The following is a 25,957-nucleotide window of genomic DNA, read 5'->3' on the forward strand; positions in this document are numbered from 1 at the left end:
ATTCCAGTCTTTTGACTTCCCTGGAACACACTGGAAGAATTGTCTTGGGCCACACATAAAATACACTAACACTAACAATAGCTGATGGGCTAGAAAAAAAATACAAAAAAAAAATCTTGTAATGTTTTAAGAAAATTTACAAATTTGTATTGGGCTGCATTCAGAGCCATCCTGGGCTGCATGCAACCCACAGGCTGTGAGTTGGACAAGTTTGCTCTACATGAATCATCATGCTATGCACTGATGCTACAGAAAAAAATATGTAGAGGTATGGAAAGCATCCTTATGGTGCTCACACCTCACAATGCCTGTCTCCCTTTCAGATATGCCCTTCCCCATCTTCTTCTTTAGAATAATTTCTCTGTGAAACTCAGCACTCAGCTCAGAAGCATCTTCAGGGCCTTCCCCAAGCTCTCTGTGGTCCTTTGGCTTCCACAACATTGCACTTTCCTGGTTCTTCTCAAATTGTTCTTCCCTTTTGTTTTTACTTTTTCCTCTTGTCTCTTTCATATTTGGACTACAGACACTCTCAGGTTCTCTGTGCCTCAGTCATGACTCTTCTTAATTGGCAAGTCCTATGGGTTAACCTCAGACACATTCATGCTTCCTGCTATTTCAGTGTGCTGACGACTATCTAATCTGTATAAGTGATTCGGACCTGTGTCCCAAGCATCAGAACCATATATCTGACAGTTTGCTAGACATTGCCAGCAGATATCCCAAACCACTTCAAGTGCAAAATGTTCAAAATGAACTCTTCCTCATCCTGTGGACTGTGATCCCAATTCTATATTCTCTATTTCAGGTAGCCTTACTATCTACCTACCTGTCTGAGCTAGAATACTTTGAGTAAATCCTCATTCTCTCTGTTTTCTGTTCCACATCCAACCATTTATGAAGTTTTTCCTTAGCTCTAATATATTTTTCTCTTCTTCCTCATGACCACCACTGTTGATTTGAAAGCTTCAATCGCCCCCTGTATGAAGGATCTTAACAACATCCTATCTCACTCCAATGCCAGCCTACTGGTCTCAGATGCTGGCGTGAACGACCTCACCAAAACAAAACTGACCAAATCACTCCTCTTCAAAGCCATTGACAGCTCCCTATGGTGTCTCCCACTGAGCATTTCTACTGCTCACTCTCCAAGGCAGAGACTTTTACTCAGCATATCCATGAGTTGCCTGAGGACTCATCCAGCATGGGGACCTCTCTATTTTGGCCTGTGTGCACATGTATGTAATGAAGTCTCCCCACAGCTCCATGGAATTCATATTCTTCAGTCAAGCACTGAATTTGCTGGACTGCACTCATTATTCTATGTATATTTTTGTTTTATGGTTTAGATTGATTATACTGACATTAGCAGTTAAAAAATTGGGAACCATTTTAACACTTAAATGAACTACACTTAAATCTGGGTGTGTGAAGGGTAGGTCTTTTTTGCCCTTATATTCTATAAACCCTGCATCACCTTCCGAAGTGGAATCAAGAAAGAATGTGACAGTTGGAAAATTGATCAGAACTCCTGAGCAGTTACTTGGACTCCGTCTAGATTTTTTTTTTCCCTCACTGATGTAGCAGAGCCCATTAATATGGAAGAACCTGAGTAGTCAAAATTAGTCCCTCCCTGAGACTGCACGTAGGAAAAGCATGTCCTTTGATGTTAACCTTCCTAAAAGGTTCAGATACTCTAACTACAGGCATGGTGACGTCACCCCTTTGTGTTTGTGTGAATGGGCTAGATTAAGGAGATTAAAAAAGGAGTGGGTCAGAGGTAAATGTGGTTGAATGGCAGTGGAAGGGGTGGGGCAGCAAATCCTCACCATCTTAAGAAAACAGTCTTCATTCACGTCTTTACATGCATTTGAAAGCAGAGCAGCAGGTAGATTTTCGAATCACAACCTCTGCTCTAGGCTCTGTGTTCAATTTTTAGCTCTGGCTCTAGCAAACGGAGGACAAGGCTCATTACTGCATACATGAGGTTTTGTTTGCTTTTCAATCGAAGAGGAAGAATCATTAGGTCGTTCTCATAAGATGACACAGAAAGCTTATTGAAATGCCTTTGCAGATAGTGAGGGAAAATGTTGTTACCTAAATTTAATGATTAAGTGCATGACATATTAAACCACCCTCCTCTGGGACTTACATGCTAATGAATAGTTCTAGCATTCATTTCAGGTTTTCAGGTACCTAAGGCAAAATGATGCACACCCTATAGAATATATAAGAATGTCAGCTTTACATATTATGTTTTCTAATTTTTAAAGAAGTTATCGAAATGTACAGATATCTCTTTCCTCACTATTAATGTTCCTGTCTAGTTGTTGGTTCATTAGTGCTGCCAATATGACTTGTCAAAAAATGCACATCTATCCATAGCATTTTCTGGTTTAAAACCTATCAACATAAGATATATTCCAAGCCTCAAGTATGAAATCCTTTACCTTCTGGGCTCTGAGTACATCTTTCCATACTTACTTTCTCCTCACACCAATTTCCTTATTTACACCACATACAAGTAATATATACACACATGTATAAAGGCACAGGCACACAAGCACATGTACATGGGCACACGCCTCACACAAGGACACAAATCTGTTTGCACATTCACAGCTCGTACATGTATACAAGGATGCATATATACAAGTGGGCAAACATATAAGACATACAGCCACATATAAAAGAACATGTATACAAGCATGCATATAGGCACACACATGATGCGCATATACATAGGAATACACATGGGTGCATATACACAAGCATTTATGTATATACTCACCCTGGCACACATGTATGCGCATACACACACATGGGTATGTACTGGCACACAGGCATACATGTAAGAACACACACAGGTGTGCATATGCACGTACACTCATGGAGCTATGTAGAAAGACACACATAGGGACATTCACACATACACACATGCAGACATCCAAGGACACACACACCTATACTCCACTTCATGCAGATTAATTCATGTTCCTTCTTTGATCTCACTCTTATCAAGGTGGTATAGCCTTTTATTTAGTTCATAAACTAACCAGGCTTCTTGCTTTTCCCAAGAGCACATTAATGCTACTCTCATTTTAGCAGACTGCTAAAACACCTGGCTCTTTCCCTCACCCTGCACGTAGAAGTACTCATCAGAGAAATGTGTCGGGGAGCATCATTTGAACTCACCATTGTTCAGAAATAGGCTTTTATAGAGGATCATACAATCATGGGCAGCCCATACATTCTCTTAGACCACAAATATTCAAAAGAAATAGAATGAGAGCCACAGATGTAAGGTACACATATACTGTAAAGTTTTCTAGTAGCCACATTGAAAATAAACAAGAAGAAACATATAAACTAAATTTTAATAATGTAAAGACTTTGCAAAACTCTCTCTGGATCAAATCAAATCAATAAAGAGTCAAGCATTGAAGGCTCAGAAACTTAGAGATAAATGTGTGGCTCATCTCTGGCAAATATGTGTATAGAACTTGAAGCAGGTCTTTTGTAAACTTGCTTAACACCAGATTCATTCATTTTGATCTTTTTATTTCCCTCTGCCTAATTTTTAAGTTGTTTTTCATGTGTTTTGCACCTTGCTATATTAAATCCATTTTTTGGCAGGGTGCGGTGGCTCACACCTTTAATCCCAGGAATTTGGGAGGCCGAGGCGGACAGATCACTTAGGGTCAGGAGTTTGAGACTAGCCTGGCCAACATGATAAAACCCTGTCTCTACTAAAAGTACAAAAATTAGCCCGGCATGGTGGTGCACACCTGTAATCCCAGCTACTCAGGAGGCTGAGGCAGGAGAATCTCTTGAACCCGGAAGGTGGAGGTTGCAGTAAGCTGAGATCATGCCACTGCAGGCCATCCAGGGCAACAGAGGGAAATCCTGTCTCAAAATAAATAAATAAAATAAAATAAATGCATTTTTACAAGCCATTTTAAGTCCTCTTTTTGTTGTCTAGTCTTAAGGCAAGTTAGAAAGAAGGAAAATATAAGAAGATACTCATGTTCTTTCATATTTCCATTATTATCCATGTTTGCCTCTTGGGGAAGACATTTCTGAAGCCTTCTCCCCTTGCCAGGGCAAGGAGCTCCTTGCTCTATGCACTCCAGGGGCTTACAGTACAGTTCATTCTACAAAAATAACCACATTATGTGTTGCTCAAAACCACTGTGTTATAAAAAATCAAGCAGTAAAAACCACAGAACTTACGGGAAAAATGGGATTGGGGCACAACATTTAAAAACTTTGTTAGTGACACATTAACATGAAGAGGATAGAAATCTAATAAAAACGACAACGGAGTTTGACACATATGAAATGGTTAAGAAATACATAAATATTATACTCACAAAAACCACAATCACTTTTGCATTGACCTAATATTACAGTAAATATGGCACTTAAACTTGAAAAGGACTCAAAATTGGCTTGTGGAAGTGGGCATCTGACAGGTTCAGCTCATAAGTTATAATAAAGAGATGGAAGGAGGGTTATCTGAAATCGGATGGAAAGTTGAAACACTGCACGAGGATAGGTGTGTTTCATAAGCCACGAAGTGAGTTGAGGAAGCTGATGCATGTTCAGATGTGTGCATGTGTGAGTTTTTGCAACCCCACATGCTACTCAATTCAATCTGGATTCAGTTTTCTATGTTCATCTAGTGTTCCTTACAGATGCAAAATTCATTTATGCCTACATTGTTCCCTGTGTTAAACAATCCTTGGAACAAATTTGTGTGTTTGAAATTAAGCACTGTAGCCTGAGTGCAGTTATTTCTATTATGGCCATATTTGTAGCTATATATTTTGGGCTGCATTCATGTTGTACTCCTTTTCTGGTCTAGACTGTAGATCCCTTGGAGGTAAGACTCACATGTCATATTTGAATCATCTTTCTATCATCTGTTCTTCCCTAACCCAGTGCCTGACACACAGGGAGCACCTGATGTATTATTCAAATTGTGTTAATCTATGTTATCTTTGACTGTCTTTATATATATATATATATATATATATATATATATATATATATATATATATAATATAAATAAAAATATAAATAAAATATATATTATATATATATTAAGTTCTGGGATACATCTACAGAACGTGCAGGATTGTTACATAGGTATACATGTGCCATGGTGGTTTGCTGCACCCATCAACCCATCATCTACATTTGGTATTTCTCCTAATGCTATCCCTCCTCTAGCCCCCCACACACCCGACAGGCCCTGGTGTGTGATGTTCCCCTCTGTGTGCCCATATGTTCTCATTGTTCAACTCCCACTTACGAGTGAGAATATGTGGTGTTTGGTTTTCTGTTCCTGTGTTATTTTGCTGAGAATGATGGGTTCCAGCTTCATCCATGTCCCTGCAAAGGACATGAGCTCATTCTTTTTTATGGCTGCATAGTATCCCATAGTGTATATGTGCCACATTGTCTTTATCCAGTCTAACAGTGATGGGCATTTGGGTTGGTTCCAAGTCTTTGCTATTGTGAATAGTCGTGCAATAAACATATGTGTGCATGTGTCTTTATAGTAGAATGATTTATAATCATTTGGGTATGTACCCAGTAATGGGATTGCTGGGTCAAATGTTATTTCTGTTTCTAGATCCTTGAGGAATCGTGCCACACTGTTTTTCACAATGGTTGAACTAATTTACACTCCCACCAACAGTGTAAAAGTGTTCCTATTTCTCCACATCCTCTCCAGCATCTGTTGTTTCCTGACTTTTAATGATTGCCATTCTAACTGGTGTGAGATGGTATCTCATAGTGGTTTTGATTTGCATTTCTCTAATGAACAGTGATGATAAGCTTTTTTTCATATGTTTCTTGGCCACATAAATGTCTTCTTTTGAGAGGTGTCTGTTCATATCCTTTGCCCACTTTTTGATGGGGTTATTTTTTTCTTGTAAATTTGTTTAAGTTCCCTGTAGATTCTGGATATTAGCCCTTTGTTAGATGGATAGATTGCAAACATTTTCTCTCATTTTGTAGGTTGCATGTTCACTCTGATGATAGTTCCTTTTGCTGTGCAGAAGCTCTTTAATATAATTAGATCCCATTTGTCAATTTTGGCTTTTGTTGCCATTGTTTTTTGTGTTTTAGTCATGAAGTCTTTGCCCATGCCTATGCCCTGAATGGTATTGCTTAGGTTTTCTCCTCTGGTTTTTATAGCTTTAGTTCTTACATTTAAGTCTTTAATCTATCTTCAGTTAATTTTTTTATAAGGTGTAAGGAAGGAGTCCAGTTTCAGTTTTCTGCGTATGACTAGCCAGTTTTCCCAAAACCATTTATTAAATAGGGAATCCTTTCCCCATTGCTTGTTTTTGTCAAGTTTGTCAAAGATCAGATGGTTGTAGAAGTGTGGTGTTATTTCTGAGGCTTCTGTTCTGTTCCATTGGTCTGCATGTCTGTTTTGGTACCAGTACCATGCTGTTTTGGTTACTGTAGCCTTGTAGCATAGTTTGAAGTCAGGTAGCATGATGCCTCCATCTATATTCTTTTTGCTTAGGATTGTCTTGACTATATGGGCTCTTTCTTTGTTCCATATGAAATTTAAAGTAGTTTTTTCTAATTCTGTAAAAAAAAGTCAATGGTAGCTTGATGGGGATAGCATTGAATCTACAAATTACTTTGGGCAGTATGGCTATTTTCACGATATTGATTCTTCCTATTCATGAGCATGGAATGTTTTCCCATTTGCTGGTGTCCTCTCTTATATCCTTGAGCAGTGATTTGTAGTTCTCCTTGAAGAGGTCTTTCACATCCCTTGTAAGGTGTATTCCTAGGTATTTTATTCTCTTTGTAGCAATTGTGAATGGGAGTTTGCTCATGATTTGGCTCTCTGTTTGTCTCTTATTGGTGTATAGGAATGTGTGTGATTTTTGCACATTGATTGCAGAGACTTTGCTGAAGTTGCTTATCAGCTTCAGGAGTTTTTGGCTGAGACGATGGGGGGTTTTCTAAATATACAATCATGTCATCTTCAAACAGACATAATTTGATTTCCTCTCTTCCTATTTAAATACCGTTAACTTCTTTCACTTGCCTGATTGCCCCGGCCAGAACTTCCAATACTGTGTTAAATAAGAGTGGTGAGACAGGGCATCCTTGTCTTGTACTGGTTTTCAAAGGGAATGCTTATAGCTTTTGTCCATTAAGTGTGATATTGGCTGTGGGTTTGTCATAAATAGCTCTTATTATTTTGAAATATGTTCTATCAGTACCTAGTTTATTGAGTGTGTTTAGCATGAAGGGGTGTTGAATTTTATTGAAGGCCTTTTCTGCATCTATTGAGATAATCATGTGGTTTTTGTCATTGGTTCTTTTTATATGATGGATTACGTTTATTGATTTGTATAGGTTGAACCAGCCTTGCATCCCAGGGATGAAGCTGACTTGATTGTGGTGGATAAGCTTTTTAATATGCTGCTGGATTTTGTGTGCCAGTATTTTACTGAGGATTTTTGCATCAATGTTCGTCAGGGATATTGGCCTGAAATTTTCTTTGTTGGTTGCATCTCTGCCAGGTTTTGGTATCAGGATGATGCTAGCCTCATAAAATGAGTTAGGGAGGAGTCCCTCTTTTTCTATTCTTCAGAATAGTTTCAGGAAGAATGGTACCAGCTCCTCTTTGTACCTCTGGTAGAATTAGGCTGTGAATCCATTTGGTCCTAGGCTTTGTTTTGGTTGGTAGGCTATTAATTACTGCCTCAATTTCAGAACTTGCTATTGGTCTATTCAGGGATTTGACTGCTTCCTGGTTTAGTCTTGGGAGAGTGTATGTGTCCAGGAATTTATCCATTTCTTCTAGATTTTCTAGTTTATTTGCGTAGAGGTGTTTATAGTATTCTCTGATGATAGTTTGTATTTCTGTGGGATCAGTGGTGATCTCCCCTTTATCATTTTTTGTTGTGTCTATTTGATTCTTCTCTCTTTTCTTCTTTATTAGTCTGGGTAGTAGTCTATCTCTTCTGTTAATCTTTTCAAAAAACCAGCTCCTGGATTCATTGATTTTTTGAAGGGTTTTCATGTCTCTATCTCCTTCAGTTCTGCTCTGATCTTAGTTATTTCTTGTCTTCTGCTAGCTTTTGAATTTGTTTGCTCTTGCATCTCTAGTTCTTTTAATTGCAATGTTAGGGTCTCGATTGTAGACTTGTCTCACTTTCCCCTCTGGGCATTTAGTGCTATACATTTCCCTGTTAAACACTTTAGCTGTGTCCCAGAGATTCTGGTACGTTGTGTCTTTGTTCTCATTGGTTTTAAAGAACTTATTTATCTCTGCCTTCATTTCGTTAATTACTCAGTAGTCATCCAAGAGCAGGTTGTTCAGTTTCAATGTAGTTGTTGGGTTTTGAGTAAGTTTCTTAATCCTGAGTTCTAATTTGATTGCACTGTGGTCTGAGAGACTGTTTGTTATGATTTCTGTTCTTTTGCATTTGCTGATGAGTGTTTTACTTCCAATTATGTGGTCGATTTTAGAATGAGTGTTATGTGGTGCTGAGAAGTATGTATATTCTGTTGATTTGGGGTGGAGAGCTCTGTAGATGACTATTAGGTTCACTTGGTCCAGAGCTGAGTTGAAGTCCTGAATATCCTTGTTAATTTTCTGTTTCATTGATCTGTCTAATACTGATGGTGGGGTGTTAAACTCTCCCACTATTGTTTTGTGGGAGTCTATGTCTCTTGTAGGTCTCTAAGAACTTGCTTTATGAACCTGGGTGCTCCTGTATTGGGTGCATATATATTTAGGATAGTTAGCTCTTCTTGTTGATTTGATCCCTTTACCATTAGGTAATGTCCTTCTTTGTCGTTATTTATCTTTGTTCGTTCAAAGTCTGTTCATCAGAGACTAGGACTGCAACCCCTGCTTTTTGTTGTTGTTGTTGTTGTTTTTTGCTTTCCATTTGCTTGGTAAATCTTCCTCCATCCTTTTATTTTGAGTCTATGCATGTCTTTGCACTTGAGATGGATCTCCTGAATACAGCACACTGATCGGTCATGACTCTTTATCCAATTTGCCAGTCTGTGCCTTTTAATTGGGGCATTTAGCCCATTTACATTTAAAGTTAATATTGTTATGTGTGAATTTGATCTTGTCATTATGATGCTAGCTGTTTTTTTGTTTTTTTTGTTTTGTTTTGTTTTTTTGCCCATTAGTGATGCAGTTTCTTCATAGTGCTGATGGTCTTTACATTTTGGCTTGTTTTGGCAGTGGCTGGTACTGGATTTTCCTTTCCATATTTAGTGTTTCCTTGAGGAGCTCTTGTAAGGCAGGCCTGGTGGTGATAAAATCCCTTAGCATTTGTTTGTCTGTAAAGGATTTTATTTCTCCTTCACTTATAAAGCTTAGTTTGGCTAGATGTGAAATTCTGGGTTGAAAATTCTTTCCTTTAAGAATGTTGAATATTGACCCCCACTCTCTTCTGGCTTTTAGGGTTTCTGTAGAGAGATCACTGTTAGTCTGATGGGCTTCCCTTTGTGGGTAACCCTCCTTTCTCTCTGGCTGCCCCTAACATTTTTTTCTTCATTTCAACCTTGGTGAATCTGATGATTATTTGTCTTGGGGTTGCTCTCCTAGAGGAGTATCTTTGTGGTGTTCTCTGTATTTCCTGAATTTGAATGTTGGCCTTTCTTGCTAGGTTGGGAAGGTATCCTGATGAGTGTTTTCCAACTTGGTTCCATTCTCCCGTCAATTTCAGGCACACCAATAAAGCGTTAGTTTGGTCTTTTCACATGGTCCCATATTTCTTGGAGGCTTTGTTTCTTCCTTTTTATTCTTTTTTCTCTAATCTTGTCTTCACGCTTTATTTCATTACGTTGATCTTCAATCTCTGATATCCTTTCCACTGCCTGATTGATTTGGCTACTGATACTTGTGTATGCTTCACGAAGTTCTAGTGCTGTTTCTCAGCTCCATCAGGTCATTTATGTTCTTCTCCAAACTGGTTATTCCAGTCAGCAATTCCTCTAACCTTTTATCAAGGTTCTTAGTTCCCTTGCATTGGGTTAAAACATGCTCCTTTAGCTTGGAGGAATTTGTTATTATCCACCTTCTGAAGCCTACTCCTGTCAATTCATCAAACTCATTCTCCATCCAGTTTTGTTCCCTTGCTGGCGAGGAATTCTGATCCTTTGGAGGATAAGAGGCATTCTGGTTTTTGGAATTTTCAGCCTTTTTGCATTGGTTCTTCCTCATCTTTGTGGATTTATCTACCTTTGGTCTTTGCTTTTGGTGACCTTTGGATGGAGTTTTTATGTGGTTGTCCTTTTTGTTTATGTTGATGCTTTTGCTTTCTGTTTGTTCATTTTGCTTTTAACAGTGAGACCCCTCTTCTGCAGGTCTGCTGGAGTTTGCTGGAGGTCCACTCCAGAACTTGTTTGCCTGGGTATCACCAGCTGAGGCTGCAGAACAGCAAAAATTGCTGCCCCCTCCTTCCTCTCGAAGCTTTGTCCCAGAGGGGCACCCACCAGATACCAGTTGGAGCTCTCCTGTATGAGGTGTCTGTCGACCCCTGCTGGGAAGTGTCTCCCAGTCAGGAGGCACGGGGGTCAGGGACCCACTTGAGGAGGCAGTCTGTCTCTTAGCAGAGCTTGAGTGCTGTGCTGGGAGGTCCACTGCTCTCTTCAGAGCTGTCAGGCAGGAACACTTATGTCTGCTGAAGCTGCACCTATTGCTGCCCCTTTCCCCAGGTGCTCTGTCCCAGGGAGATGGGAGTTTTATCTATAAGCCACTGACTGAGGCTGCTGCCCTTCTTTGAGAGATGGCCTGCCCTGAGAGAGGGAATCTAGAGAGGCAATCTGGCTACAGTGGCTTTGCTGTGCTGTGGTGGACTCTACCTAGTCCAAACTTCCTGGCAGCTTTGTTTACACTGTGAAGGGAAAACTGCCTACCTAAACCTCAGTAATGGCAGACACCCCTCCTCCCACCAAGCTGGAGCATCCAGGTCAACTTCAGACTGCTGTGCTGGCAGTGAGTACTTCAAGCCAGTGGATCTTAGCTTGCTGGGCTTCATGGCGTTGTGATCTGCTGAGCAAGACCGCTTGGCTTCCTGGCTTCAGCTCCCTTTCTGGGGGAGTGAATGGTTTTGTCTTGCTGGCATTCCAGGCGCCACTGGGGTATGAAAAAAAAACTCCTGCAGCTAGCTCAGTGTCTGCCCAAATGGCTGCCCAGTTTTGTGCTTGAAACCCAGGGCCCTGGTGGTGTAGGCACCCAAGGGAATCTCCTGGTCTATGGATTGTGAAGACTGTGGGAAAAGTGTAGTATATGGGCCAGAGTGCACCATACATCATGGCATAGTCCCTCATGGCTTCCCTTGGCTAGAGGAGGGAGTTCCCTGGCTCCTTGTGCTTCCCAGGTGAGGCAACACCTCACCCTGTTTCTGCTCGCTCTCTGTGGGCTGCACCCACTGCCTAACCAGTCCCAAAGAGATGAACCGGGTACTCAGTTGGAAATGCAGAAACCACCTGCCTTCTGCATTGGTCTTGCTGGGAGCTGCAGACTGGAGCTGTTCCTATTCGGCCATCTTGCCTGGGAATCTAACTGTCTTATATTATAGTTTGGGTTTCTCAGGGGCAAATGCCATGCACTTACTCATATCTTCAGGCTGTTTTTCTGCCTAAAACTTAGTAAGTTCAGAATTAACTGGAAAGCAAACACCTGCACAGTAGATATACTCTGCTGCGGGTGCTCATTCACCACCACCCTCTCTTTCCCTTATCCCTTGGAGACTTACCCTCTGCTAGGAAAATGTCAGTGACTTAGTCAATGGATTCAGTGTCTTCACAGAGCAGACTGAGGGGAGCCAAAGCAGGCTAAGGAAACAATGGTCGGCATTGTTTTTCCAAGTCTTTCTCCAATCCCTCCGCTGGCATGGAAACCTTCCAGGCCTCTCTCCAATCAGGGCCACACCCTCACCAGTGCTATGGAAATCCTTCTGCGCAGCACCAAGGTAATGAAACCAGTAAAAACAGTGTTCTTTTCCCATTGGCTAAGCTGGAATAATTCCTCACCCTTAGCAAATGGGCAAGTGGAAATTCTAGTAGGGAATTTAGAACACAGGTCTACACACTGGAAACCCTCAATGGAGTCTAAGGTTCTTTATATACATATACATTGTATACATAAAAGAGTAAAAGAAAAGAAATCAGCTGAATCCAGAGAGATTGTTTTATTTTGTTAGCATAATACCAAAAGCTTTTCTCACTTTTAAATTTGTGGTTTTCAAAGTCTTAAAAAGAATATGAATATCCTTGTGTGTGTCGTTGCCCTCTACTGGATAAGCTGGGTAATATTGTCACTAGTTGTCCAAACATATTAATAATATACTGAACAACATCTTATACTTGGCTAGCATTTTGTCTTTTTATTTTTCAAAATGATTATACATGTAGAATTTTAATTTACCCTTTTCATAATGCTATAAAATAACTAAGCTATTTTTATTCCCATTTTACAGATGAAAAACTGAGGCAGAGGTACATTATTCACTCAATATACATACTTTAATGAAGCTGTATATAAAGAACTACGCTAAGCCATTTACAAAGGTGAATAAGATGATCTATACTCTCTGGGAGCTTAATTTGTTACAGATAAGATATATACCCAAATATCTATAATGAAAATAAAATTGTGATATAGGAATAAATTAAACTAAGAATTATTGATTGTAGAAGGAGCTTATACATGTTACTTTAGCCTCACAGTAACTTTTTTGGTATATGTCATGTGCCTTGTTTTACAAATGACAAAATTGAGGTTGGATGTTTCTAAGTCATTGTTCAGATGCCCCACAGAGAACAATGCTATAGGAAAGGAGAAGAGGAAGAATTTACAACTGGTAAAAATCAAGAAAGGCGTCATAAAGGTGGTGGTGTTTGGCCTAGGGCTTAAAGGATGGGCAGGGGCTGGGTGCGGTGGTTCATGCCTGTAATCCCAGCACTTTGGGAGTCCGATGTGGGTAGATCACTTGAGGCCAGGATTTCGAGACCAGCCTGGCCAACATGCTGAAACCCCCTCTCTACTAAAAATACAAAAAATTAGCAGGGCGTGGTAGTGTACACCTGTATTCCCAGCTACTCAGGAGGCTGAGGCAGGATAATCACTTGAACCCAGGAGGTGGAGGTTGCAGTCGGCAGAGATCGCACCACTACACTTCAGTCTGGGTGACAGAGCAAGACTCCATCTCACAAAAAAGAAAAAAAAAGGGCAAAAGAAGGCAAATGTCAAAAGGAAGCTTTGCTCATGATGTTGGCAAAGTGAGAGGCTCACTTGGGGCATGACAGGTCCTGCAGAGAGGGTGGAGCTTGGGCTATAGGGAAGGAATTATTCTTGGTACAGAGGATGTATCCAAAAGAAGTCTTGGGAACAAGCAAAAAAGTCAGAGGTGGTCCACATCTTCTCCACTGTGCAGTGAGGACAGGGCTCTTGAGTAAGGGTCTCGCCTTTGGGTGGTCTCTGTGCTGACAGGAGGCACTGATGCTGGCCTGTTTGTGCAGTGAGGCTGCCCGTTTTGTGGCCTGGTTTCTGTTGCTTATGGATATGGTCATAGGTCAATGGGAGGTTGGTGTGAGAAGCCTGAGCAGGCTATGGCAGCCTGTGCTCCTGAGAGTCAGTAAAGAGTGCCGCATAACAAGGAAAATTCTGAAAATCATTCACTTTCACATTAGAGGTTGCTGAGCTGTGGCACCTCCTCTTTCCTTTAACAATCTGGACCAACGGCCTAAAGAGCAGAATGTGAAAAAAATAAAATAAAATTGAAGACACTGTAACGAATGAAACAGGACTCTCTTTGTCCTTTAAACGAGAGGCTAAGCCTCATTTAGTACTTGGGTGATTTGCCTAGAGTTTTCCTTTTCTGCCCAACAATTTTTCAAGCCTTCCATAGTCAACCATTACCACCTTCCAGGTATTCTGTTCCTGGTGGTTTAACAGAGAATCTCAGGGTCAGAATAAATGACAGGGATCACAGCGAGTTCTCACAGCTTACAAGGCCATGGCCTTCCTGCCAGAGGTCTAAAGGGGCTGGAGACAGGGGCTAGAAGAGAAAGGGAAGGAACAGAAAAAGCCAAGACAGTTAAAGGAATGGATGACAAAGGAAACAGTGAGTTGGACATTTTTTTCCTCTGAATCTTTTCTGTCATGACTCCTTTAAGCCACTGAGAAAGAAATACAGAGAAAAAGACCCAAAAATAGATAGATAAATATATAGATAGTTGCAGAGACAGATGAACAAACACACAGAAAAAAAATGAGCTATAAGTAATCATGACATTATCATGTATTTTTCTTAAAAAAGGGCCACTTCTATTGACTCAGTCTTGATTCTCAAATAACAAAACTGAACTAGTACAGTACATTTAGTTCTTTATTCTATGCATATTTACTGAATATCTTTTACACACTTCCATGTACTTATCCACTAAGAATGTATTAAGTACCTACCAGGTACCAGGAACTATGCTAGGAGTGGGAAATACAAAGGTAAATAAACAAAGTCTCTTCCCTTACTTAGCTGTGAGCCTTTGCCTCAAGGTGTGCTGAACCCATGGGATATTTAACAAATGTTGGATTGAGTTGCACTGTTATTGCCTCATCTTCAGCAGGGTTAGGACCTGGGAGCACCAGTTTCACCACTTCTCCGGCATTAACTAAGACAATGCATAACCACAACTCAGATGATATACGTGATCCTTTGTCCTTCTTGTTAGGATCTATCTCTAAGCTTTGAGTTTGGGAGAAGGAAACATGCCATTGGCATAATAGACTTTAGGGCAGAAGAGTCCAGGTTCTTGCCTCTCTGGCTGAGCCACAGGCTTTTCTTATGGGAAACTCACCACCTTCATTAGCAACACTACTCTGTCTTCATTATTTGCCGGGCAGACTCATCTGGTGAATGCCACTGAAATGAGATTCGTTTTTTTTTTCTTTTTAATTATTGACACACTAAGCTTCCTCTCCCTACCCCACCTGATGCATACATATTTGGAAAGAGGGGAAGACTGAGTGAGCTGTGACATCGAGGTGGGAAGCAATTGACAGCTGCACTGTAGCTTCATAACATCAGGAAAAGCAAACTGAAATGGATGGGGTTGTGTTTATCCTTTAAAGTAGAAACATAAACTTAGAGTAACAGTTCTTTCCTTTTGGTGTACTTTGTTGACAGTTTTGTCTTATTTTCATGTAAGTGGACCTCATTCTTCATGTTGGCTTTTATCTTTATATTTACGCAAGATGTCTAAGAAGTGTAAGGTTCCAGGGAGGTCACAAAATGGGGCACTTTCCTATGGTTTGTGCAATTTGTCAAAAAAAATATGGATGAATAAGAGTTTGAAAATGATATAAAGCTAAAGCCAGTCTGTCAAGAATTTTTTTCTCATTTTAAAAATCCATTGAAAATTTTCAGAATTTTTCACATGACTGCACCCTATACCAAGACTCATCTCAAAATTATCTATTTAATTAATGCTTCCCAGATTTTGGATCTCAAGCGCCATTTAAAAGAAAGAAAGTCAAAACAATACATGAGGAACTGACATGAAGTACCAATTTTAGGTTTGCTTTTCTAGAAAATAAAAGCTAAAAAAGTAACAGCAGCTACCATCAACTGCCACCATTATTTTCCAAATGACCTTTGACATCACAAAAGGAAGAAGGGAACAACTTCATACAAATGGACGATCCCTTCAATTTAATCATTTAGGTTTTTTAAAAACTCACAACATTGGCTTATGTTTTTCATTTTGCAACACACCAACGACAGGTTCTCACAGACCACTGAGGGAGCAGCCTGTGGTAACTCCTGCCCGGCATTACAAGTTCCAGTGATCTAGAAGAAGGAAGTCTACCATGGAGATCAAGTCCACACAGGCCTTCCTAGACAGAATTCATACTCTAACCATGGGGAAATCTTGGATGTTACTCCAAGCCACAGTTTCCTCATTTGTAAAATGGAGTTGCTGTTATTTACCCTGGGAACTACTATGTGTGATCAATCAGTTAGTGTACTGAAAGCAACAAGCAGAGGGCCTTGTCACAGGCTACCACAAAGTAATTTTCTTTGTCTCCCTCTCTTCTTAACAATAAGGCCTGAACCTTACTCTTTTCATTCCCTAGAACACCTTGCAGTGAGCTTTGTAGTTAGGAAGTAGTCAATGAAGATGTACTGCATTCAATTTGTATGAATAGGACTCATAATGTCGTGTTTGTTATGCTTTGTTTATAGTAAATCACCTTATTAAATTTATAATAAATCACTTACTTAGTAATTACTCCTTGTCTTGTCTCACTTACAAAGTCTATGTAACTTTTGGATTTAGGGATGATATCATTCATTTTTCTACTATCACCTTCCTCCCAAGTACCTGGCACAGTACAGGTTATATCCTAAAGGCTGTATAAATACTTGATAATTAGTCACTGATTAAAGGACACAATCTGTCCCTTTGGGTGCACTGAAAAGTGTGTGTGTGTGTGTGTGTGTGTGTGTGTGTGTATGTGTGTGTCTCCATGCATCCATTCTTATGGGCCTTTTTTTTTTCAGATATTTCAGTCCAACTTGGAACTTCGGTAATAATTCTGAGTTTACAGACATTCAGCAAGTATGATCAGATTGCACTTTTGGAAAAATCTATTTCAAGTGTGATAGCTTGTGTGCCTAGGGCAAGCATTCTTTCTTTTCCTACTAATAACTCAACAGGTTCAGCAGGCAATAGCACTGCTTACAGGTTCTTCATTCTTCACAGGTGAGGACAGTATTACCTTGTATAGGCAACTACATTTTACTTAGTGGTGATCTGATTACCTTGATCTTAAACATTTTAACTTTGCACTATCCATGCCCACAGAGAGTTGGGCAAAATGAGAAGGGCCTGTGGAAAATACACATCCAATTTTATATTGCAGTTGTATTGGCAATTGCAACTTAACCAGCTTTACTGCTACTTCTAGAGGGAAGTGAAATTACATGCACTAATAAGATTTGTGGAGAAATGGATATGATACATAATACAAGAGCATTCCTTGATGAAACAGCTAATACTAAGTACATATATGGAAATCTAATAAATACATTTTTTACTAAGGATAATTTTTTCAATACTCAATAACAGAATCACTGGGAAGGACCATCTAGGGAGTGTATGCTGTGTTCCTACATCTTTCTGAATTAAAATGGTATTTTTCTCTTTAATGTGTCTTTGGTGAAGGTTCATTGAGACTGGGATGTGAGGAAAGAAAGGACACTCAAAATATTTTTTAGATCCTTTGAGACTTAGTGTCTTCGCAGTGACTTGGATCTAACCATATCAAAGCTTAGGAACTTCTCAGGAATTAATTCCATGATACTGGTAAACTGAACATGATTACTAAGATCTGTGTTTTCTTTTTATCTTATTGGATATCATAGTTTGATTAAAATATTTTGAAGAAACAACTCCAGTCATTTATAGCACTGGTGTTGAATCATGTTGAGTTTCTGAAAGCATCTTCTGTGACCCAAATGAAGAGTAACTAAGCTTTCTATTATCCAGCTTATTGTTGAACAATATTTACTGAGTGTTTGCTTTGTGTTCAGTGCAGCTTGATGCAGTGTTCCTAATCTCAATGAATTATCCCTGGTGTCAATTCTTGCTTAGCATATAAGAGTATCAAAATACAAGTACAAAAGTAAGTAGATATAGATATAGATATAAATGGAAGCACCAAATTAATTATGGCTAATTTCTATCAAACTCTTACTCAGCTCTTTTTTTTTCTTCCCTACCCCTCAGCTCTTATTGGAACTCAATGGCTTTTTAGGGGGAAGCAGACAGTTTGCCTTTTTTCAGAAATGATAGACATGCCCTGACCCACTCTAATTTGCTATTAACAATTTGTTATGCAGCTCTCATCTTTGAATTTATCTAAACCCTTCCTGTGCCTATTTTTACTTTCAGTTCATATAAATAATTGCCATAATAAATTCCACATGTTAACTTATTTGCAGTTAAAAGCTTCCTTTCAAACTTCAGCAATGTTTCCCTATATTTGCTATCACAGGATAGAGTAAAAACTAACATCTCTAATCATTATCCCTACTTCACTTCCATCACTTTCAAATTGTAGCTTTATAATCTTTAAAATTTTCTTGGCATTGAAAACAATAACAACAATAACAACATTTTATAGAAACGATTCATTGAAAGACAACTTTATCTAAATTGTTCAATTCAGCCAACACTTATAGAGTTGATGCTGGTGGCCAGGCACGGGGATGCAAAGTAGAACAAAATGTAGCTCCTGCCTTCCAGGAGCCCTCGATGAGCCAGACAGACAAAGTATAAATGGATTAGCATAACACAAATACAACTGAGTTGTGTAAAATGTTATGGATGGCAACACAGTTGGGAGAGAAATTGCTCCTGAGAGACAGAAATCAGTGAAAGATTCAGAATTGAGGAGATACTTGAGTCTTAAAGAGAGAGAAGCCTTGTCTCAAAGATAAGTAGTGACAAGCAATTAATACGGGGTTAAGGACATGGGGTTTGCAGTCAAACAGAGCTGTATTTGACTCATATTTCTGCTATTTCATAGATGTGTAACCTTGGGAAAATTGCTTTATGTTCTAAAACTAAGGTTTCCTTTGAAGTGCAATGAAGATAATGATGGTGCACTCCTAGTTTTGTTGTGAGAATCACCTGCTATATGTGTGCATGGTTTGAATGTATGTGTTCCTCCGAAATTCATACGTTGGAACCTAATACCCAGTGTACAACATTAAGAGGCTGGGGAGCTTTTGGGAAGCGATTAGATCTTGAGGACTCTGGCCTCATGAATGGATTTGTGCCCTTATAAAAGAGGTTGAAGGGAGCACCTGAATGCCTTTTCACCTCTTCCACAATGTGAGGAAGGAACGGCACACCCTTACCAAACACTGAATCTTCTGGCACCTTGATCTTGGACTTTCCAGCCACCAGACCTGTGAGAAATAAATTTCTATTATTTATAAATTACCCAGCCTATTCTCTTATAGCAGCAGGAATATACTAAAATTGTATTTGAAACCTTTAGCATAGTTCCTGCTACATTTAAGCATTTATGAGATAACTACCATCATCATCATCATCATCATAACCATCATCATTTTGACTATTCAGATAGAGATCCAAGTTCTGATTTCATCCAAAGTCCTTAGAGTGGCATTCAGTTGTCTTTTCTCCTTTCATGGTTCCTAATGAAAAGTATCTGGAGCCTCAACTTTGTGAATGGTCTTCATGAGTATTTACTGGAGGCTGGGGGCTGGGGCTCAGGAGACACTGAGAGAAACACAAAGATGTCACAGAGCATACTACTTAAAGTGTGGGCCATGAACTCTATATTTGAATCACCAAGGGCACTTGTTAAAATTCAGATTTGTAGACCAACCCTGTCTACATACTTAATAAGAGTCTTTGGGATGACACTCCAGAATCTCTTTTATAAGCTCCTTAGGTCAATTCACATACATACCAGCATATGAACATACTTTCCTATGTTGACTTAGCTCCAGTTTGCTCAGGATCTTTTGTTTACTAGAGGTTTCTCCAAAGCCCTGGAGTTCTTCTTTCTTTACAGCTCCTCACCTCAACTTCCTGCCAGAATCATTTATAATGTGATGCAGTTCCCTTGCGTACTCTCTTACCCTCAACTACAGGTTACTCTTAGTGAGACTTCAAATTGTTATGTAGTAGATACTTTGCCTTATCTTCCTGATTAGGCATCATCTAGCTTGATCCACATCTATTTGTAATATATCTATCACTCATGTATTAGATATTATAGATTTCTAATATTTCTGTCTCTATCTCTGACAGCTCACACACGCACACTTCTTTTTGGGCAAAACTCTATAAACTCACACTGACTCCGTATCAGTGAGAAATTCCTGTGTGTTTCTTGTTGTACAAATCTTTATCTGCAACATGATTTTGTCCAAGTTCCTTTCTATAAAAATGATTTTCTGTTCTATTAGTTCTGTTCTAGACTATTAGTCCATTTTTCATTGCTATAAAGGAGTACTTGAGACTTGGTAATCTAGAAAGAAAATAGGCTGACTGTCATAGTTTTACCCTAAGAAGAATAGCGGGACATGGATATGCATGTAGAAAGGCTGCATAGATATCAATTGCAACAGTCTTGTACTTCACCTTTTCTGTCTTAGGGACCATTTATTGGCTACAGAATTAAATAATTATGCCCTAACTCTTTTGTATATGTAAGAATTTTACAACTGTTTGGTGGCTTCTTAAACTGAGAGGTTTCAATCTTTCCAGGAATAGTAGATAAAGATATGCAGAATAACTAGCTGAAAAATCAAAGATCCTGACTTTAAATTTGATGCCTTAAAAGGTGAAGCCGAGAAGTATAGTAAAAGAGAACTTAAATCAGGGTCAAGAGACTAGGGTTGAAGTATGGCTCCAACTCTAATTAGCTATAAGAATAGATCAAATTCACTTTGTATTTCAGGTCTTCAGAGTATCAATGTCAGGGATTGAATCAGAGGGCTTCTAATGTTCTTTCCAGCTTTACCATTCTATGTCCACATAAGTTTATAATTCCTCCCTATTTAGAACTCACTGGGCCGTCAATATCATGGTACTGTAATTGAAGGACAAATTCTTGATATGCACCTTGAAATTAATATTTGTGATTATATATAGTGTTAATTATGATTTTTTTAAAAATTAAGAATGTTAGATTTAACAGTTTATTTGAGAAAATAACAATTCATGAATCAGGCAGCACTCAGAAACAGAAGAGGCTCAGAGATCTTTTCCCAGTAATGGTAACAGTTGGCTTTTTTTTTTTTTTTTTTTTTTTGAGATGGAGTCTCACCCTGTTGCCCAGGCTGCAGTGCAGTGGCACAATGGCACAATCTTGGTTCACTACAACCTCTGCTGGGTTCCAGTGATTCTCCTGCCTCAGCCTCCTGAGTGGCTGGGAGTACAGGTGCCCACCACCATACCTGGCTAATTTTTGTATTTTTAGTAGAGATGGGGTTTCAACATATTGGACAGGCTGGTCTCGAACTCCTGACCCTGTGATCCGCCCATCTCAGCCTCCCAAAGTGCTGGGATTATAGGCATGAGCCACTGTGCCCAGCCAACAGTGAGCTTTTATAAACTGAACATGAAAGCAAAATAGAGAAATCACCTAATTGTCTATAGCTAGGCATCTGCCTTACTTGGGCATGGTGTGATGAGTTGGCTGCATATGATTGATTGAAAACCAGGCTATTTGTTACAAAAATATAATAGTCCTAAGTCAGGTTTTATTTTGTTTACTTACCAAGTTAGATTGTGGTTTGTTAGGTAGGAATTTAAAGTATGAGGACAGGCTCAGACTAATGGTCTCCTGCTTATTTAATGATAAATACAATATTTTTTATGGTATTTATATATTACTTTATAGTTTTTACATTTTATGTTCCCCATTTTTATAATAAAAACAACTCTTTGAGACATGTTTTACAGAATTATTGTCTATTTTTCAAACAGAAAAACTGAAGCTAAGAAAGTTAGATGATTCACTCCATGCCACACTGCTAATACATGACAGAGATAGAACTTAATCTAGTAAACTTTGCTCCATGCCACATAGCTGCTCAGATTTGAATAGAGAAGATAATGTTTCTGCAAGCATAAAGTAGGCTTAACAACTGTGAAGCCAAAACTTCACCCCAAGAAGCACCACAATGAACTATAGTATCTAATGAAGTTAACAAAACTACAACAATCCGTGGCTCTCAAGAAGATGGGCAGATCTGTTCAGGTTGCTAGTTTATAAGATAAAAGTGAAAAGATCTAATATTTGTATACAACATTGTAGTTTTCAAAAGACATGCAAGTGTAGTAATATTTAGAGTGTTTTTTTAAGACTCAAGCAAATTATTATAGGCTGAAACCAAAGCTCAGATAGATGCCACTAGATAGAGAGATTCCAGGTTTTTTGATTCCCAGACTCTAGTCCCACTCCACCACATGGGGTGACCCACCGTCCCAGTTTGCCTGAGACTGACAAATTTCCCAGGACATAAAATCTTCAGTGCTAACTCTGTGAAATTCCCAGGAAAACTGAGATAAGTGGATAACCCTACCACCACATTTTTAAAGTTGACACATAATGGCACAGTTCTCATTTTACACCAGGCAATCAATGGTTAAGTCGACAGGTCTCTGAGATCACTAAGTGACCCATCTTGTTATCAAGATGAAACAGGAATAATAATGATAATTGTGTAACCAAGATCTTGATTATGATACTAATCAAAACATTTGCCATAACAATGTCAATTATCATTAAATAGCATTTCCTTACTTATAATGTGGGAACCAAGCCAACAATATAATAAACCACCCACGATGGAGTGAGGAGATGTTGTCTTTGTTCTGGAAAAGGACCACATAAAACAAACTCTAGAAAATTATTTATAAACTGATGTGATAATTTGTGTGTGTTTTTTAAAATTGTTAGGTCCTTTAAGTGCACTTTTTTAAATTCCAAAACAGAAAATGTCACTCACCCAGAACAGAAATTGACTTTAAAATGTAGCCATTTGAAGACACGGTACTCTCTCCTGTCATAAATAGAAAACAACTTCCTAGAGTTTTTATTTCTGTTACTTCTTTTGTGACACTTTATATAGTTATCAAATGCTTTGAAACTACCCTCAGACTATAGATGTATTTTGCTTTTGTAGTCTCTCAATTCTAATATCATTGATGAGTTTATTATAGTACTGAGCTCTTTTTAATCCCTGTCAACTTAGATTAAGTCAAATTAGTTCTCATTTCAATATTGACAAAGATCTTGTTTGACAGCAAGAGTGACCTCTGGTTTCCTCCCAGGGACATCTTGTCTACAGAATAAATCGTCAACTTTTTCTTAGAGGATGGCTTAGACATCTTAGGTGTTTCTCCTTAAAGAGAGTCAGAGAACACGAGGGAAAGGGCTGAAAATCATGGCTCAGGACGTCTAAGTTAGACACAAGGAGGGACTACCTGGTTTAATGTTTGGGAAATCCTGGGATTTATTCCTAACTTATGCCAAAGAGTTTCCTTACATGGAAATACTGAGTGAAATGTATTTAAAAAAAACAGGTAGATTTGAGAATAGTTCTGACCAAAGTTGTAGTGAATCATAAAAGTTTGATTGGAAGGCAAGCAGTGAAGTGTGGGATAAGAGATTCATGGGAAGAAGGGAGCGGTCACATTTGAAAAGGTTATGCTGTCATGCATCTCTAGATTTGAATGTGTTTGAATCTACATTCAAAGCTGAGTAGCATCTCAAACCAGCTTCTTTCAGTCAGGCTGCTGAATTTCTAAACTTTTAAATTGTTTATATGAGAGTTTTTTTTCTGTTTTCTTAATAAAATATGGGAGTGAAAAGAATGATGGACATTATTAATAACTAGTTGCATGCCCTCATTTTTTTAGACAAGGATACTTAGGCTCAAAGCTGTCAAATGATTGACTCTACTGGGGATTTGCAGAGGAGTTCTGAATCCAGGCTCCTTGTCTCCTTTTACCATGCCTTTACATTGATCATCTCTTCTGATCCCATTTATTACATCTAAGAGGTGTTTTCCCCTCACTGTGTGGCAGTCTTACTAACTATACAAATAATCACAGCAGGTTGGTGGACTAAAACAAGTTACATCATCTGTCCCATAGAGTTTGTATTCTAGGTTGGAGGCCCTGGTAGTGCTCTGAGTCTCTAGTCTACCAAGTTTTTGATGTTCTTGATGCTGATATCTCCTCATTTCACTTGTGCTCAGAGTGAGGGGACCACTTCGTTCTGCAGAGTTATTAGGAAATAAAATGTGTATCCCCAAATAGGAAGCACACAAAGGCTATGAAGCAAACTGTGTGAATAGACACAAAGTGTGCTACAACATAATAAAATTGATTTTGAAAAGAGATATAACAGAAGGTAGATGTTCAAATGAATATTATTCTGTGTATCCAGTCAAATGTTGTTTGCATAGTGTTGGGGTCCCACTTTAAAAGGCACCATCAGTTTCAGTTTCTTGAGGCATAAGGGCTATCAGTTTGAGAATTATAATCACATCTAAATTTAAACAAAAGAAAATTGCTACCAAGAAGGATCATCCATCTTTCTGCAGATTTCTGCCCTGCTCATTTCTATCCTGTTACATGCTGTGAGCAAAATATTTTTGCTTAATTCAATCAAATTGAATGTAATAGATGAAGAGTTGATGCCAGACAACTCTTCACTATTACTCAAAGTTAAATGTTTTCACGGAGAGTACATGTGAACTACTGAAAAGAATGCATGGTCTAAAAACATTCACAGAGAGGAATGACAAATGCATTTGCAATAATTGGGAAGCATTTTTTGAATGTTTGCATCACTTCAGAGTGACAGATTTGAAAGGTAACATTTTTTGGTTCTGGTGTATTTGTTGAAACCTCAAATTGTATTTGCATGATAATTTTCAAATTGTTTATGTTGAAATATGACAGGTTTGTCAAGAGAGTTAGAAAATATGTTAACATTTCAATCTTACCAGGCTCTGACAATTATAGCAGTGACTTTAAATTAAAGGTTTGATTACATAATCTTGTTTTTACTTGTTTAAAAAATATACAATAAAATTGGTCTTTGATCTGAGATCAGGAATTATAGACTCTAGTTGGTCGAATATCCACATTTTGGAATGTAATTATATTCAATCATCCTGTCTAGATTCAGATATTTTTAATGGCTGGGATGGATGTATTTGATTAAAATAACACTCAGATAAATTAACTACTTCTTAATTTGTAGTTTGTTAGACAGAAATCACTCAGCCTCCAGAGTTTATTCAAGTGTTTCTCAAAAGGCGTGTGTAGGCACTAGAGAAAGATACATTTTGTGTGTGTGCAGAGTTGCAGTGAGCCCTGGCCACACACTAAAAACCAGAAGGACTCAGGCAAAAGTGTGATAAACGAAAATGCTCCACACATTTCCAAACATTTATTGGTGGCAGGAGAGGAGGTACTGACTGTTGTTGAAAACTTCTGATCAGATAAAAATAATATAAATTGTGAAAAGATAAAGTAGAGATTATTAGTAGTTGTGGGGCCTGGAGCAAATTATTTATCCCTGGACCTCAGTTTCTTCATTTGTGTAAAAAGGTTAAAAATAAGGAACCTCATAACATTATTATTAATGTGATGATAACTAATGTGATAATGCATATAAAATTCCTGGTGAATCTTCTCATAAATAATAGGCAAAGAGTATATAATTAATTAATTGCTATTGCTTCTTTCTTTTCCTAATTTTAAATTTTCTTTTCAAAGAAAAGACTAGACTTCATTGCTGGGCAAGCAGGGCTGTTGTGGCAGATGCATCTGGACATGAAACAAAGGGCCTCAGAAAGTGGGATTGGGGATGTAGCTGTTCTAGAAATGGAATATCCTCCTAAAGCAGATTTGAGAATTTCACTTGGTTGCAACTTACATGCATAGTTCACTTACTGAACATTTAATTCTCACTTGAAAAGTAAGTTTTTCATGATGTCCAGCAAAAAGTTTCCTATGAAGAGGTTTTATCTGTTGCAGACTGGTTGTGACCAGCAGTAACCTCTGAGGAGCTGATATGACCCTCAGATTTAGATATTTCAAACAGCTCTTCCTGATAGAAAGAAAAAATTAGACTGAGTAGTTACTGGTCATTTTTCTGAAAATTTGGCTTCTAGAGAAGCAGCAACCTTAGGTAGGTGTCTTTGCAAACTCTCATGCATGTTAGTTATTTGTCAGTTTTAAGTGTTATAAATGCTAGATTATCTTATCTAATTCTTCAATTCTGTGTGTTTTTCTAAAACACAATATCATGTACTAGAAATATTGGAAGCATTTTTTCCCCAATAGTGTTTAGCTTGTTTTAACTTCTTAAACC

At 38.5% G+C, this 25,957-nt stretch overlaps 4 annotated features.

The window, feature by feature from the left end:
• Positions 842-1,358: an enhancer, noted in NCBI's record as "NANOG hESC enhancer chr6:51203839-51204355 (GRCh37/hg19 assembly coordinates)". NCBI's record gives its function as "activates a minimal SCP1, AML or CMV promoter by ChIP-STARR-seq in naive H9 embryonic stem cells {active_cell/tissue: H9 hESC(naive)}" and the evidence as "EXISTENCE:reporter gene assay evidence [ECO:0000049][PMID:30033119]".
• Positions 1,450-1,978: an enhancer, noted in NCBI's record as "OCT4-NANOG hESC enhancer chr6:51204447-51204975 (GRCh37/hg19 assembly coordinates)". NCBI's record gives its function as "activates a minimal SCP1, AML or CMV promoter by ChIP-STARR-seq in naive H9 embryonic stem cells {active_cell/tissue: H9 hESC(naive)}" and the evidence as "EXISTENCE:reporter gene assay evidence [ECO:0000049][PMID:30033119]".
• Positions 4,439-4,639: a silencer, noted in NCBI's record as "peak5850 fragment used in MPRA reporter construct". NCBI's record gives its function as "represses an SCP1 promoter by STARR-seq MPRAs in K562 erythroleukemia cells {active_cell/tissue: K562}" and the evidence as "EXISTENCE:reporter gene assay evidence [ECO:0000049][PMID:32103011]".
• Positions 14,569-14,769: a silencer, noted in NCBI's record as "peak5851 fragment used in MPRA reporter construct". NCBI's record gives its function as "represses an SCP1 promoter by STARR-seq MPRAs in K562 erythroleukemia cells {active_cell/tissue: K562}" and the evidence as "EXISTENCE:reporter gene assay evidence [ECO:0000049][PMID:32103011]".

The sequence above is a fragment of the Homo sapiens genome, chromosome 6 (genome assembly GCF_000001405.40).
Source record: "Homo sapiens chromosome 6, GRCh38.p14 Primary Assembly".
Lineage (NCBI taxonomy): Eukaryota > Metazoa > Chordata > Mammalia > Primates > Hominidae > Homo > Homo sapiens.